This window comes from Homo sapiens, chromosome 3, assembly GCF_000001405.40.
Source record: "Homo sapiens chromosome 3, GRCh38.p14 Primary Assembly".
Classification (NCBI taxonomy): Eukaryota; Metazoa; Chordata; class Mammalia; order Primates; family Hominidae; genus Homo; species Homo sapiens.
In genome coordinates, this window is record NC_000003.12 from 131,224,752 (window position 1) to 131,239,370 (window position 14,619).

The 14,619-nt window shown below is 39.9% G+C and overlaps 1 protein-coding gene across 51 annotated transcripts in view; it reads left to right on the forward strand.

The window, feature by feature from the left end:
• NEK11 (NIMA related kinase 11) overlaps positions 1 to 14,619 on the forward strand; it is a 323,589-nt gene that overhangs the window by 197,875 nt on the left and 111,095 nt on the right. For all 51 annotated transcript variants that reach the window (XR_001740271.2, NM_001353038.2, NM_001353022.2 and 48 more), the window contains one exon: positions 3,777 to 3,937. Coding sequence is in view for 50 of the 51 variants with exons in the window: in NM_001353038.2 (NP_001339967.1) it covers positions 3,777 to 3,937 (161 nt within the window). In the remaining variant the exon portion in view is untranslated. The remainder of the gene's footprint in view (positions 1 to 3,776; positions 3,938 to 14,619) is intronic.

Below are 14,619 nucleotides of genomic sequence, written 5' to 3' on the forward strand. Positions count from 1 at the left end.
CAGTAGACTAATGTGTATGTTTGTGTCTTCATTTTTAACAAAATAGTTGAAAAAGAAAAAGAAAGAAAAAATGCTTATTGACTATCTCCTAGTTAGGAGAGATATGAAAAAAAGAAAATATTTTCGTACAGCTGTACAATGTGTTTGTGTTTTAAGCTAAGTGTTATTACAATAGAGTCAAGAAGTTTAAAAAATGTACAGTAAGCTGCTTAATTTATTATTGAAGAAGGGAAAACATTTTTTATAAATGTAGTGTAGCCTAAGTGTCCAGTGTTTATAAGTCTGTAGTAGCGTACAGTAATGTTCTAGGCCTTCGCATTCACTCACCACTCACTCACTGACTCACCCAGAGCAACTTCCAGTCCTGCGTGCTCCATTCATGGTAACAGCCCTGTACAGATGTGCCATTTAAAAAATCTTTTATACTGTATTTTTACTGTACATTTTTAATGTTAAGATACACAAGTACTTACCACTGTATTACAATTGTCTACAGTATTCAGTGTAGTAACATGCTGTACAGGGTTGTAGCCTAGGAGCAATAGGCTATACCACATAAACATAGATGTGTAGTAGGTTATACCATCGAGGTTTGTAATAAGTACACTCTATGATGTTCACACAATGATGAAATCACCTGAATGACATATTCCTCAGAACATATCCTCGTTGTTAAGTGATGCATGACTTATTTCTTCCTGGTGTTGGGTATTACAGGAAAAACTACTGAGTGTTTGCCTTATTTGATACATACTTTGCATCCATTATACTATGTAATGTTCACAACAATTCCATGAGATGAATATTATCATCTTTATTTTATAGATGAGAAAACTGAAGTGCAGAAAGCTTAAATAACACAGTGTTACAGAGCTATTGCTAGAGGCTTGATTTAAATGCAGATTTTGTTTTTATGCCAAAGCCAGCATTCTAAAGGAGTGTTTCTGAATGTTGGCCTCTCTAGCTAGGTTGGGGTGTTTTTCAAACTGCAGGTTGAGAGGTCAGTTTAGTGAGTTGCAACCAGCATTAAAAAAATAATTGAACAGGATGAAAAACACCAGAGTGTGTCATATGTAGTTTGGGTAAATAGGTCTTGGTGTATGAAACTTTTGTTTCGACTATAAAGATATTTATAAACATACATATATAAGCACATTTCTGTGCACTGGGCAACAATGTAAATGATATTTCTTACCATGTCGTAGTTTGAAAGCCAAGGGAGTGGACAAGGAGGAATGAAGATAAAGAAAAAATGGGAGAGCAAGAGGGAAAAATATGAATGAGTGAGAGAATGAATAACTGTCAAAGGGACAAAGAGACTCGAGAGGGAGAGGAAGTAGAAAAGAGTGGGGAAAGAGGGAGAATGGACAACTCAGAGAAAGAGACACAGAGATTCAGGGAGAGTTGAGGGTGGGCAAGAGAAGGAAGACATCATATGGTTCTGTCTTTCATTCCACTCAGCAAGCACATGTCCCTACTTGATGGCAGAACTGGAGATCTCTCAGGAGATTTTAGTTTTCATACACTTCTCATGCTGTGATTCTCTTGTCGTTCTCAGTGTAAGTAAAATGAAGATCTTTATTAACATGGCTTCTAGTCATTACAGCAAAAAGACACCTGCACGTTTATGTTTATCACAACACAATTCACAATTGCAAGGATATGGAACCAACATAACTGCCCATCACTGATGAGTGGATAAAGAAAATGTGGCATATATACACCATGCAATACTACTCAGCCATTAAAAAAAGAATGAAATACTGTCTTTTGCAGCAACCTGGATGGAGCTGGAGGCCATTATTCTAAGTGAAGTAACTCAGGAATGGAAAACCAAATACCATATGTTCTCACTTATAAGTGGGAGCTAAGCTATGGGTACACAGAGGCATGCAGAGTGGGATAATGGACTTTGGAGACTCAGAAGGGAGGAGGGTGGGAGGGAGGTAAGGGATAAAAGACTACATATTGGGTACAGTGTATACTACTCGGTGAGGGTGCACTAAAATCTCAGACTTCACCACTACAAAAGTCACCCATGTAACCAAAAACCACTTGTATGCAAAAGGTATTGAAGTTCTATATGCATGTACATATGTGTATAGGTATGTTATATATATATGTGTACATACAGACACGTGCAGGTGTCTTCTTGATATAATGACTAGAAGCCACGTTTAATAAAAATAATATATATTATTTCAATATAAATAATAAAAATAATAAAAACTATGGCTTCTCCATAACAGTATTCTATCTCATCTGTTGCTCAGCTGAAAATCAGTGATCTGAACTGATGTGAAAAAAAAAAATACGCTGTGTTGAAATTGCTGAGAGAAGGTATGAGATCCCTAGTACACTGCTTTCTAAGGAACTGGCAAAGGCAATTTTGAATATATGTAATTTTTGTCTTTTGAGCTGACTAATTTTTATTCTACTGTACAGCAGCCTTTTATGTTTTAGTGGGAAACCATAGATAACAAACACATTTTAACATCTTCTATTTCCAGGGAATTCTACATCCATTAAGTATCTTACTTTCAAAGGATTCTGGACTCATTTAATGAAAAGCCCATTTGTACAGACTTGGAAATTGAGTGAACATTTGTATGAAACTTCCCTGCATACCGATGCTTTCATGAGAATTCTATTACTCAATCTCAGCAGCCACTCTACTAGATTACACTTATGTTAATTTTATCACAGAAATTGGAGCTCTGTGAGTTTAAGTCTCTTGCACAAATTTTCATCTAAAAAGTGGAAGAGCTAGATTCTAGCCTTGATTTTCTGACCCCAAATTTCATATTTTTCCCACTAGACCAGAAATAGCAACAATAGATTGAAAAATAATGTGTTACAATTTGGAAGAAAAATTTTAATTTTAAGTCTGAGTATGGTGCAAAGTCTAAAATGCCCATTGTTTTGCTGCAGCTGAGTATTCTAATTTTCTCCTCCCCCAGCCCAAGGGTAGTTGTTTGGGTAGTTCTTTATTTCTAGCCCCCCATTAGTAAATTATATTGTTATGCTTTCTTGTGATCCATTCATGGCCTTTCTTCACTGAAGATTGTTATAAACACCAACTTTATTCTAGTTACTAACAATGTTGCATCAAGTAACTTGGGTAGATGCTTATTGTCATCAGCTTAGGTGGGTATTCTTTTTTAAAATAAGTGCTGAATGTAAGGTTGAGTAAGTAGGACCCACCAGAGTGAACTCCATCTCAAAAGCCATCATTACCTGTTAGAAAAGAATTGTGTTTTTCCCAGCTTGCCAAAATGATGCTGCTATATATCCTATTCATCTTGTTTGGTCCTACCAGTAACATTTAAAAAAAAAGAAATATCTAGGAAAAATGCTGTGGTAGTTTTGCTCCAACTTCCTATGCTAAAAACTTTATGTGTGTTGTGTAATAGGACCCTTCAGCCAGGACATCTTGTCCTACCTTTGCCCCTAAATTTCCTCATTTTTAATAAGGATTCATGCCTCCAAATGTCAAAATGTTAAAGCATATTATTTATTCTTATTTAATGATTTTTTTCTTACCTTCAAACGGTAGTTGCTAATGGAAATGTTCCTCCTTTCCTCTACTGGTTTTATTTTGCTGAGTGTTTATTACATTCAACCAAATACTTCCAGGAAGCTGAGATTCAGCTCTACACTCCATGGAAGCTTTGTCAACGCAAGCAAAATATACATCCCTGTGAAAAGATACAGTATTCTTACCTCATTATAATTTTAATAACTGGTAGTATCTGACTGTTTGTTCATTATTTCAGAGATCCCAGAAGACCCACTTGTGGCTGAAGAGTACTACGCTGATGCATTTGATTCCTATTGTGAAGAGAGTGATGAGGAGGAAGAAGAAATAGCGTTAGAAAGACCAGAGAAAGAAATCAGGAATGAGGGATCCCAGCCTGCTTACAGAACAAACCAACAGGTATGTAATGCTCCCTGTCGGAAGCCATGGAACTGTTCAAGGTACTGATTGGACTCTCCCAGAGAAGAAAGGAAGTCTTATAAGGTGAAGTTGGGGACATGGGGAACAGGGTTATTATAATAGCTACTTGTGGTAAGTCTGGCTTTTCAAGGTCCAGAGGCAGGCAGGGCCCTATGGAATTTGGAGAATCTGATCTGGACCATGTTGATGGGGGAAGAACTGGAGCATGCTGCACTTATTTGGGGGGTTGGGAGATGGCACACACCATATTCCCACTGAGGAGGGCTTCGTATACAGCTATTGAATTAAAAAATGCAAATATCTCTTTAGCAGAGAGAATGGCACTTTTTATATACTTTTCTGTCTGGTAATCATATTTTGGGGTCATATTCACAAATTGAATGCAAATAAAATTTGTAAAGACTGACTTAGTTTTGGGGATCAGAACCAAAGATCCTGGGCTTAGGGGATAATCTGTCTAGCTACTTTTAGCCTCTGAGGACACATTCTTGCTTAAGTGGTGAAGTCTCTGAGTATATGCCCTATGCCCTTGTAGTAGATCTCTTTTAACTATAGCAAGATTAAGCCTTATATGGGCCATAGGTCAAGAAACACCCCTGACATGTGCTTTCAGTGTTGAGTGTCTGCAACAGAGGAATAAAAAGCAAGAGGCTTATGAAGATGAAGGGGAAAGCTTTGGGCAATGTGCATACATACCTTCTTTTCTTCTTACCTTCCAATCCTAAACTTCCATGAGTTACAGAAGCTTTTGTTAACTGAGAACCATGCAGCTACTAAAATAAAAGTCTACCAAAGGGCACCTGAGTGAAGACTCAGCTAGAGGAGATGATTTTTGGAGTGAAGATGATTCACTCCAAAAATCCATTCAACCATTTTTAATAAAGACTATGCAATATATCATAATATTCAATCCATTCAGCCACTTAAATCCATTCAACCATTTTAATAAAGATTATGTGTCATAATATTCAATAAATAAAAGCAGTAAGAAGTGCTCTCCAATTTGATATTAAGAGAGAGAGGCAAGTGAAGGGTACAGGTATGGGGCCAAGCAAAAAAAGGGATGAGATAAAGAGGAGAAAGAGATGAAGAGAAAGGATTAGAGAGAGATAATTTAGGAGACAAATACATGAAGAGAGAAACAAATACATTTGGAGAAAAATACAGCTAAAGGGGGGATTCAGAATGCCAAAATAAAAACTTAGCTTATACCGTTTCCCCATTTTTTTCCAACGGAATCTGGAAAACAACAGCACCTCCTACCACAAATCGAAAATATAATTTCTACTACCTTCTGAGCCACTGTCATAAACAACTGTAACGGATATTATTGCAGCATTACAGAGCCTTCATTCTGGGCCTATGGTTGCAAAACACATGATATGCAAAATACATACAGTGCTCAATTTTTGGTCAAAGCATCAAGCGGTAAAATTTTAGCTACTAATATTCACTTAGAAATGTTTTTTAAGAAAATAAAACAGATTTAGAACCACATGAATAAAATACTATATGGCAAACAGCTCCTAGGTCAGGAAATACAATTTTTCCAGTCTCAGAATATCCATCTTTGGCACTTAGAATATAGGGTTGGAAAACAGATTGCTTGCATGTCTTTATAACTTGCAGTTTGCGTGACCTTGTTCAAATTACTGAACTTCACTGTGCCTCAGTTTTCTAATCTGTAAAGTGGGAGAATAATGGTTTCTACCTCACAGAGTGGTTTTGAGGATTAAATGAAGTAATCAATATAAAGTAATTAGAATAATGCTCAGAATTTAATAAAATACTTCATGAGATATTAGCTATTATTATTATGAAGTTACTCAGTCAAGGTATCCAGTACCTCTTTATGATACTGCCAAAACTCCTTAATGTTAAAGTGAGATTTTCTAACTTGCTTTTAAGTAATTTTTTAAAAATTCCTTCTTATTAGTCTTAAGGCAGATGATAAACATAAGGGCAGCAGTTTTGTTCTCTGGGTTGTATATCTATCACATGTTACATGACAGATTGTGATTGATTTTAAGTAATCTATTGGGACAAGATGCTAAGGCCTCTCATATGGTTTGGCTATATCCCCACCCGAATCTCATCTTGAATTGTAGCTCCCATAATTCCCATGTGTTATGGGAGGGACATGGTGGGAGATAATTGAATGATGGGGTGGTTTCCCCAGTACTGTTCTCATGGTAGTGAATAAGTCTCACGAGATCTGATGATTTTATAAGGGGTTTCCTTTTTCACTTTGCTCTCATTCTCTCTTGCCTGCAGCCAGGTAAGACATGGCTTTCACCTTCCACCATGACTGTGAGGCCTTTCCAGCCATGTGGAACTGTGAGTCCCTTAAACCTCTTTTTCTTTATAAATTACCCAGCCTCACGTATGTCATTATTAGCAGTGTGAGAACAGACTAAATACAGCCTCTCACATACATGGTGGTATTTTGTCTCACAAACCCTGTTGGGTAGTTATCTTATTCCTATTTTCTTTTTTTTCTTTTTTTTTTTGAGACAGTGTCTCGCTCTGTTGCCCAGACTGGAGTGCAGTGGCATGATCTCTGCTCACTCTAATTGAGGAAAGTTAGTTTCTGAGAGAGGTGTAGCCTTCCTGCGGTCACGTAGCTAGGCAAGGATCAGACTCATGCCTCAGGCCCACATCAGTCACATTCTCAAGTCAATGTTTTTGCTACTATAGAATATATATTGACCTAGAATGGACTTGGCATAAGGGAAACAGAAGTGTTGCCAAGTCCATTCTAGGTCAATATACATTCTATAGTAGCAAAAACAATACACAGTAGAGCAATTTGTATAGATTAGCAAAAAATAGAGTAATTTGTTTAGAGTAGCAAAAACAATTACACAATAGAGTAATTTGTATTAGAGACAGGTAATTACAACCCCATTTGTTTTCTTCCAGTAATTCAATGTAGTTTCTCCTTCCCCAAAGGTGATGAATGTGGACTCTTCCCTTTCAGGTTATTTTCATTAGCAACATACAAATTACACTACAGAACTCAGTCATGGTCAACTTTGTGAATTGAGAGAGACCTGCTGCCATCTCTCAGATTGGCCTCTTCTCCCCTTTCCCTGGTCTTGCCCTGGACCTCTGAGTGTGCCAGGGTCTGCTTAGATGGTCATCACACAAATGCCTTCTATGTGTGTAATCAGATCAAAGTTGATTCCCCTTCCTTTAGATGGAGCCAAAGTCACATAGTTATTTTGATGAAAGAAGTGCTTTCAAAAAGAAACACAGCCATGGACTTCATTGAGATTGATTACTGAGTTCTTTGTGCCACCCATGACAATCTTTTTAGTAGCAGTGTCTCCAAAGCAGTTTTATTAAGCACCTAATTGCTGATGATTGCCAACTGTTTCTCTGCTGTGATAAGCACAGCATCAATAAAACCTTTATCACAAGCCATTATCATATTGTTGATGGCTCCTCTGCCAAGTCTGTGGTCACTGAATTGGAGCCAGCATCTTAGATCTCAGGAGAATTGAGTTTATAGCTGCCGTCATAACAGGGTTCTCCACAACACTTGTGCAACCTGTCACTAAAAAGTGTTTTATGCGCTCTAATGGACATGGCTTAGGGCTACAGGCTGACGAGTGTTTTCACAGACTCTTCTGTCTTTCCTTTGCTGCCTTGACTATCATTTTTCTCTCCAAGACTAATAAATGGCTCAGATGCATCCAGTAATACACATACTAGGTGGACAATAATGACTCGACACAAATCTTCCTCGGAAGGGCTTTGTTTAATGAATGTGGCTGTCACTGAGGCTTGTTTTAAGAAGGCTCTTCAGGACTATGGTGTTTGTTCTTCCTAAGATGAAAGGCGGCAGAGTTCCACTATTCCAGTTAATTCTGAAGTTCTCAATGCTTTTTCCCCAAATCATTCAGAGGTTTTGAAATTCTTAGGAAAAACAATTGATTTTCTTCTTGGAACATTGTCCCGGGGCAGAGAACTGGATATGCGATAGGCAAGGCCTGAGATTCTGCTGAGGACCCTTGGATCTGATTGTCATGATGGTAGGTGCCTCCAAGAGTTCCTGCTGTTAGTTGAGTCATTAGTTTAATCAGATCATAGTAATGATAACAGTAACAGCTAGTATTTCCAGAATCTTCATTCTATGCTCGGTACTTTGCATGCTGTGTCAGTTCAGGTACTCCAGGAAGCAGGTGATGAGACAGAATTAGAAATAAAAAGGAAATTCCTATCAAGTAGGTGGGAGGAGTCTTAAACCATACTGATATATTTGAGGGGAAGGAAGGAAGGAAGGAAGGAAGGAAGGAAGGAAGGAAGGAAGGAAGGAAGGAAGGTTGGATGAGAACCTCAGGCTGCAGTGCAATTCTGATAAAACCTTGGCAGGCAGGCTGGCAGGCAGGAAGGAAGGTAGGGAAGGAGGGAGGGAGGGAGAGAGAGAGGGAGCAATTGGATGGGAGCCTCAGGCTGCACTGCAATTCTGAAAAAGGTTTGGCCCTGTCAAGAGGGAGCGCAAGGTGTGTTGCTGGAGTCCAGCACTGCGAAAGAATGGCCTGGCCCTAACTTCCCCATAGTGCTTACATTGCCTGGGAGTTGCCTGGGAAGAGCAGGGCCTCAGCGTGGACCCTGCATTGGATCCCGAAGGTGTTGTAGCCGAGGGCTGTCAGATCACTAGGCTCCTTGCAGCAGGGTCTATCTTGAAGGGACTTGTAAGTGGCAGATCTCATGGCTGTCACAGGTGTATTATTTCATTTAATTCTTGCAACAACTCTGATGCATATATTCTAGATGAACTGCATCAAACTAGAATTTAACTGGCTGGAATTCAAATAAGGGAGAAGGCAGAGATAAAGGAGAAGGTGAAGGTAGGAGAAAGGAAGGGATCATGAGTTAGGGATTTCATGTGACTTTTACTGAATGCTCCAGAGTCAAAATGAGCTGAGAGATATAAATCCAGTCCCTCTACTGCATCTCAGTTCCTGCATCTCTCAGACTGTAAGCCTCTTGTTGCTTTGAATTATTGTTGTAGACTTCCAGTATTTCAGATACATATTTTTCACACAATCTAGTCCCTACGTGCAAATCAGCTATTTCATTTGCTCAAAAAAGAAACAGCAGTGGAGGATATTTCAAGTGCTGACTTTAAAACCTAGGTCCCTTGAAAGATACTGTTTGTGACATCCTAACTTCACACAAGAGGAAACTGAGGCATAAGGAAATTAAGTTACATCTCCAAGACCACACAGCTAGTAAGTAGCAGAACTGGACTGTATGAATTTATTTTTAGCCTCTGCTTTATACAGTCTTTCCTCTGCACAACAATTAGAATTGCTTCTCCTCCACTGATGATAGAGTAAATGCGTTAGGTGCAAGGGAATAGCTGCAGGGCCATTGCATTATCTGGTACTCTGGCAAGACCTTTTTACTAAACAGAATGACTGTGCTATGTACAAGGCAAAATTTAAACCAGTTCCAGGAAGAGTGCTGAGTTATGAAAAGTAAAACAAAAAAGACCCAACATCTCTCATCTGTTATGGGATACAGATTTATCTCCTCCTACTATGTCCTTTTCTTTTTTAAGATAAGTTGCCAGAACTGTTGAGTCCCAGTAGTGGGACTTATTTGCCTGTTATTTTTACATGATCTGACCTAATTAATTTACCTTCATACTTGGGAAGAAACACTTTTTGTCTTAAATCGACCTTAGAGGTCATCAGTTCTAAAAAGCAGACTCCCAGCTGTTTCAGATTGTCGATCATTTTTCCATTAGCATTCCGCTGGCCTGTGTCCCAGGCTGTAAAGCCATCAGCCTTGCTACAGTGTTAGTGGATACTCCCAGTTTGGTGTGTCATTCCTTCTAGGTGATGGGCCTTCTGTAGACTGTGTGTTGCTCAAAGGAGAGACTTTGAGGTGACAATTTCCACCCCTACCCCCCATCCCAGCCCTCATTTCCGTCATGATTCTTCCCCCTTCTCTCTCTCCCATTTCTTGTCCAGATCAAAGCATAGCTCATTGCTAGTCATATTAGGACCAGTCAAACCTTGCTGTGGAATACAGCACAGTGGGGTTTGTTTTTTTTTTTACATTATATCACTTACTTCTCTTAACAATTTGATATACTATTCTTTTTTTTTCTTCTGGCCTTTATTTTATTTTAGGTTCAGGGGGTACATGCGTGAGTTTGTGGGCTTTGTAGGAGGCTTAGTCATTAAGTCTTTAAAATTAGGTCCATTATAGGGTTTAGGATCACACCTACATTTTTCACCCCAATACCAAAGCATGGAGAAAAAGGAGAAAGGCAATAGGGTGAAAAAAGGGCAAAGCAAATCTGAGCAGGAATGCAAAGTGTCTGAGTGTTCCCTTCAGTGTGAAGATGGAGAGGTCACCAGCCCCACAGTCTCCCTTGTTGGTGGCTGATCAGAGGTCCACAGGTCAATGGGCAAATAAAGGGACGGTGACCTTCACTGTGAGATGCCCTGTGCTCCGCTGTGCTGCTCCTGGAACTTTGGGGTGAGAGTGGTGAGACACAGCTGATAAGAGTAGTTGCAGTGGACCCTCTAGTGCTTTTCTCTCCAACAATCTTCTCCCTCCACTACCCTACATTAATCCCTGTTTCCCTAGCTATCATCAGAGCTGAGGTGCCCTGACCATATGGTGCACAGAAACCCTGCAAAAAATATGAAAACCATCCTAAACAGCGTTGGCAAACAGAAAAATACAAGTCCCATCCAACTGTTTTGTGATCAGAAATTTATTTTAATTTTCTGAATATTTCATTCACCTAGACAGGGAGAGTAAATACCATTTCATGGTGTCCAGCCTGGGAGGAAAGGGTTGTGACACATGGGGGCCATTGTTGGGGGTGCATTGTTCCCACATAACCTGGTAATCTGAAGGCACAGGGGTCTATGTCATCCCTGGGAAAACACCAGTCATAATAAGACAGAGCTACCTTGCAGCATCCAGGTGTTGTGCCAAACCCTTTACATGCCTTATCCCATTCATACTCACAGCACTCAATGCAATTAACATCTCTCACCATTTACAAATGAGAAGACTATGAAACAGACAGATTAACTAATTTGACCTAAGTTACCCCATCCAATGACAGAGCTGGGGTTTAAACCAGCAAATATTCGTTGTACCAACTATTAGGAATTTGGAGTAAGTATAGAACTTAATGTAGAAGTTGGTAAAGGAGAAGAAAAGGAGATTCTTGGGACCTAAGTGACAGCTCCAAAGTGTGTGAAAATGGACTATGAGCTGATGATTTAAAATCATGTTTAAATCACAGGGCTACATTTTTCACTTACTCTGTGGGATTTAAATAAAAGTAAAGCTAAAACTAGAGTTAAAAATAGAAATCTGCAATAAACAACTGTGTATCACAATGACTATCTTTTGGACTGAAAAATTCTTGTGTTTTTGTGGCAATAAACCTCCCTTAAATTGCAGGACTTTCTTCTCTAGGCTATTGTATGTATAGAGTGGAAAGAGATTAAGTAGTTAATAAAGAGCAAGTGGAAGGATTGATTAGAGGTAGCTTTTCTTTCACTGTGCTGGAATTCTAGAAATGGATTGTTGCAGAGGGAGTACAGGCCTCACCAGTTCCTGGAAAATCCATTGCCCTGTTTTGGGTAGGTGTTACGTTGCCATTCTATCAGCCCTGCTTTTTTTTCGTCTCTTTATCCTTTACATTTCTAAACCGTAATTCTAAATGTCTTAAGAGTTCTGTCATTGGATACCTATGAATGTCTTTGAAACCCTAAAGCAATCCCACAGGCATTGACTTGCCGAGAACCTGGGCATTAATAAGAGACAGCTGCAGTTAGAAGGTTTTAATAATGCAGAGTAAACAAGGCATTAGCAGTGAAATGTGGACACGTTGACAGTCACGTTTCAGCAATTCGGAATTCAGTGAAAGAGGCTTTTAGTCTTATGGGAGCTGTGGGGGCTTGTTGGCAGTTTGAGTTTTGCAGATGTGGCTCTGTGTTCCTATCACCGCACACACTTTAAGGCAGAAGGCCACCATCAGTAGTGAGATAGGAGTTACGATATTAGCTTCCTGATTTCAGGGAAGCCCTCACAAAGGTGCCATCAGCTCTGTCCTATGGCTTTGTGCTAAACGGCATCTTCTGCCTTCCTATGAATTATGAATGCATATAAGCAAGGGCTTGGCTTCTAATGAGTTCAAGCTGAGATGTGAAAGGTACATCTGAGTGTGAAGAAGATGGATAAGGTCACCTTGGTGTTTTGGTTTCTGTAACTTAGTGACATTTTCCAGGGCTGTTCTGGACACCATTTGTGGGAGAGTAGATGATAGTTTAAAAATGCAACTTGGAGAAAAAAGTAGGTGGGGCTGGGTACATTGGCTCATTCCTGTAATCCTAGCACTTTGGGAGGCTGAGGTGGGAGGATTGCTTGAGCTCAGGAGTTTGAGAGCAGCCTGGGCAACATAGTGAGACCTAATCTCTACAAAAAAATTTTAAAATAGCTGAGCATGGTGGCATGGTGGCACTAAGCTACTTGGGTGGCTGAGGCAGGAACATCACTTGAGCCCAAGAGGTTGAGGCTGCAGTGAGCGATGATTAAGCCACTGTACTCCAGCCTGGGCAACAGATGAGACCCTGTCTCAAGAAAACACTTTTAGAAATGCAACATAGATGAGTTACTTTTTGGGTCATTCATTTATGCATCACATATTTGAATGGTCTAAGCACTGGGTATATGGTAGTGAACACAATAGACATAGTTCCACCTTCATGGGATCTCACTCAGCCTTACATATTTACATAGTATTTATTGATTGACATCTCCTAAATGTGTGCCTTCTATTCTTCAGTTCTATTTTCGCAGAACTCTAGACTTACATATCCAGTCTGCCTGGGAGTGGGGTTAGGAGTCTCTAATAGACATCCTGAAATAAGCATGTACGAAAGAACTCTAGACTCACATATCCAGTCTGCCTGGGAGTAGGGTTAGGAGTCTCTAATAGACATCCTGAAATAAGCATGTACTAAAGTTAAGCCCCTCATATACTCTACCCTCAGTCCAAATTAGCTCCTCCTGAGCCAACCTCGACTGACATCCTTTCACTCACATTCATATCCAATCCATAAGCAAAACCTATTGGCTTGACCTTTAAAGTATACTTGGAATTTGACCACTACTTACTACCTGCATTCCTACTGCGAAAGCCATCATCACCTTGTCGTAGCTTCTTACTGGTCTCCTACTAACCCTCCCGTCTCATTCAAAGCAAAGAAAGGCTTTTCAGTACTTCATCATCATCACCTCACTAAGCCCCTCTCTTCCATCAACATGAGAATTGTCCTCACTCACTCCACCCTTCCAGTTTCTGGAACACACCAAGCATGTCCCTGGCTTTGGGAGCCTTGAATGCTCTTCCCACCAGATACACAAATGATTTGCTCCCTCCCTGTCTTCAAGTCTCTGTTTATATGTCATCTTATCAGGGAGGACTCTGACCACCTTATATGAAATAGCTTTCACTGGACTGAGAATCCCCTCTTTCCTCTCCTACTTTATTTTCTTCCATAGTCTTTATTGCCGTCTGAGTGGCCACTATTGCTTATTCTTTTATGGCCTGTCTCCCTCTGCTAGAATGAAAGCCAGTAGAGCAGATATTCTATTTTTTTTCACTGCTATATTCCCAGCACCTTGAACAGTGTTTATCACAGAACAAATACTTAGTAGATATTGTGGAATACGTGAATGAATGGATGCAGTGTACAGTCTAGTGGTACAGGTAGCCAATTAGCCAGGACACAAACAAAGAAGTAAGAGCAACTAGAAAACAAAGAAGCTGAAGTGATAGAGGAATGGGCATTTGGGGTTTAGGGAAGACCTACTAATAAGGGAAGTCAAGGAGAATTTCTAGAGATTGACTTTTCAGCCATGACCTGGAGGATGGAAAGGAGCCAGCCCTTGATGGGACAAAAGGGAACTGGGAGAAGAGTGCTTCACAGAGAGGGAACAGAGAGTGAGGGAAAGCTCCAGGTCATGAAAACCTGGGCGCGTTCCAGAAACTGCATAGTGAGCAAAAAGATCATAGTGAGCAAAAAGATCTTGGGGATGATAGAGATATTCTTTACCTTGCTTTAGGTGGCATATACACAGGTGTATACATTTTTGAAAACTCATAGAATTGTACCCTTAAGATCTTGCATTTCACGATGTGCAAATTTTATCTCAATAAAAATAATGCATCATTAATAATTACATCAAAAAAAGAAAAACTACAAAAAAACTACAACAGAGTTGCAATATTCATGTAGATAGATGAGCTCTATAGGTCTGCAGCCTGCATTGAGGCCACTTCCTGGCTGCTTGTGGACAGTGCCTGGCCACAGCTTCAAGAAGGTCTGGATACACTCAAATGAAGCCTCTCAGGAAAAAAAAAACATGGGTCCAGAGTGACTCTGGGTGAGGAGGGAAGAGGAAGAGGGTTTTGCATGATTTGGTGGGATTTACTTCTCTATGGGATGGCTCTGAGAGAAGAGGTGACCAAGAGGTGAAAGAAATCAGCCCGTTTATACCCTAACATCTGTTGACATAAGGTTGACTGAGGACGTGCCTGGGGTCTGAGCAAGATGAAGCTCAGCTGAGCACTTCTCCTAGCTGGGGCTGTGATAGAAGGTTATGCGTAC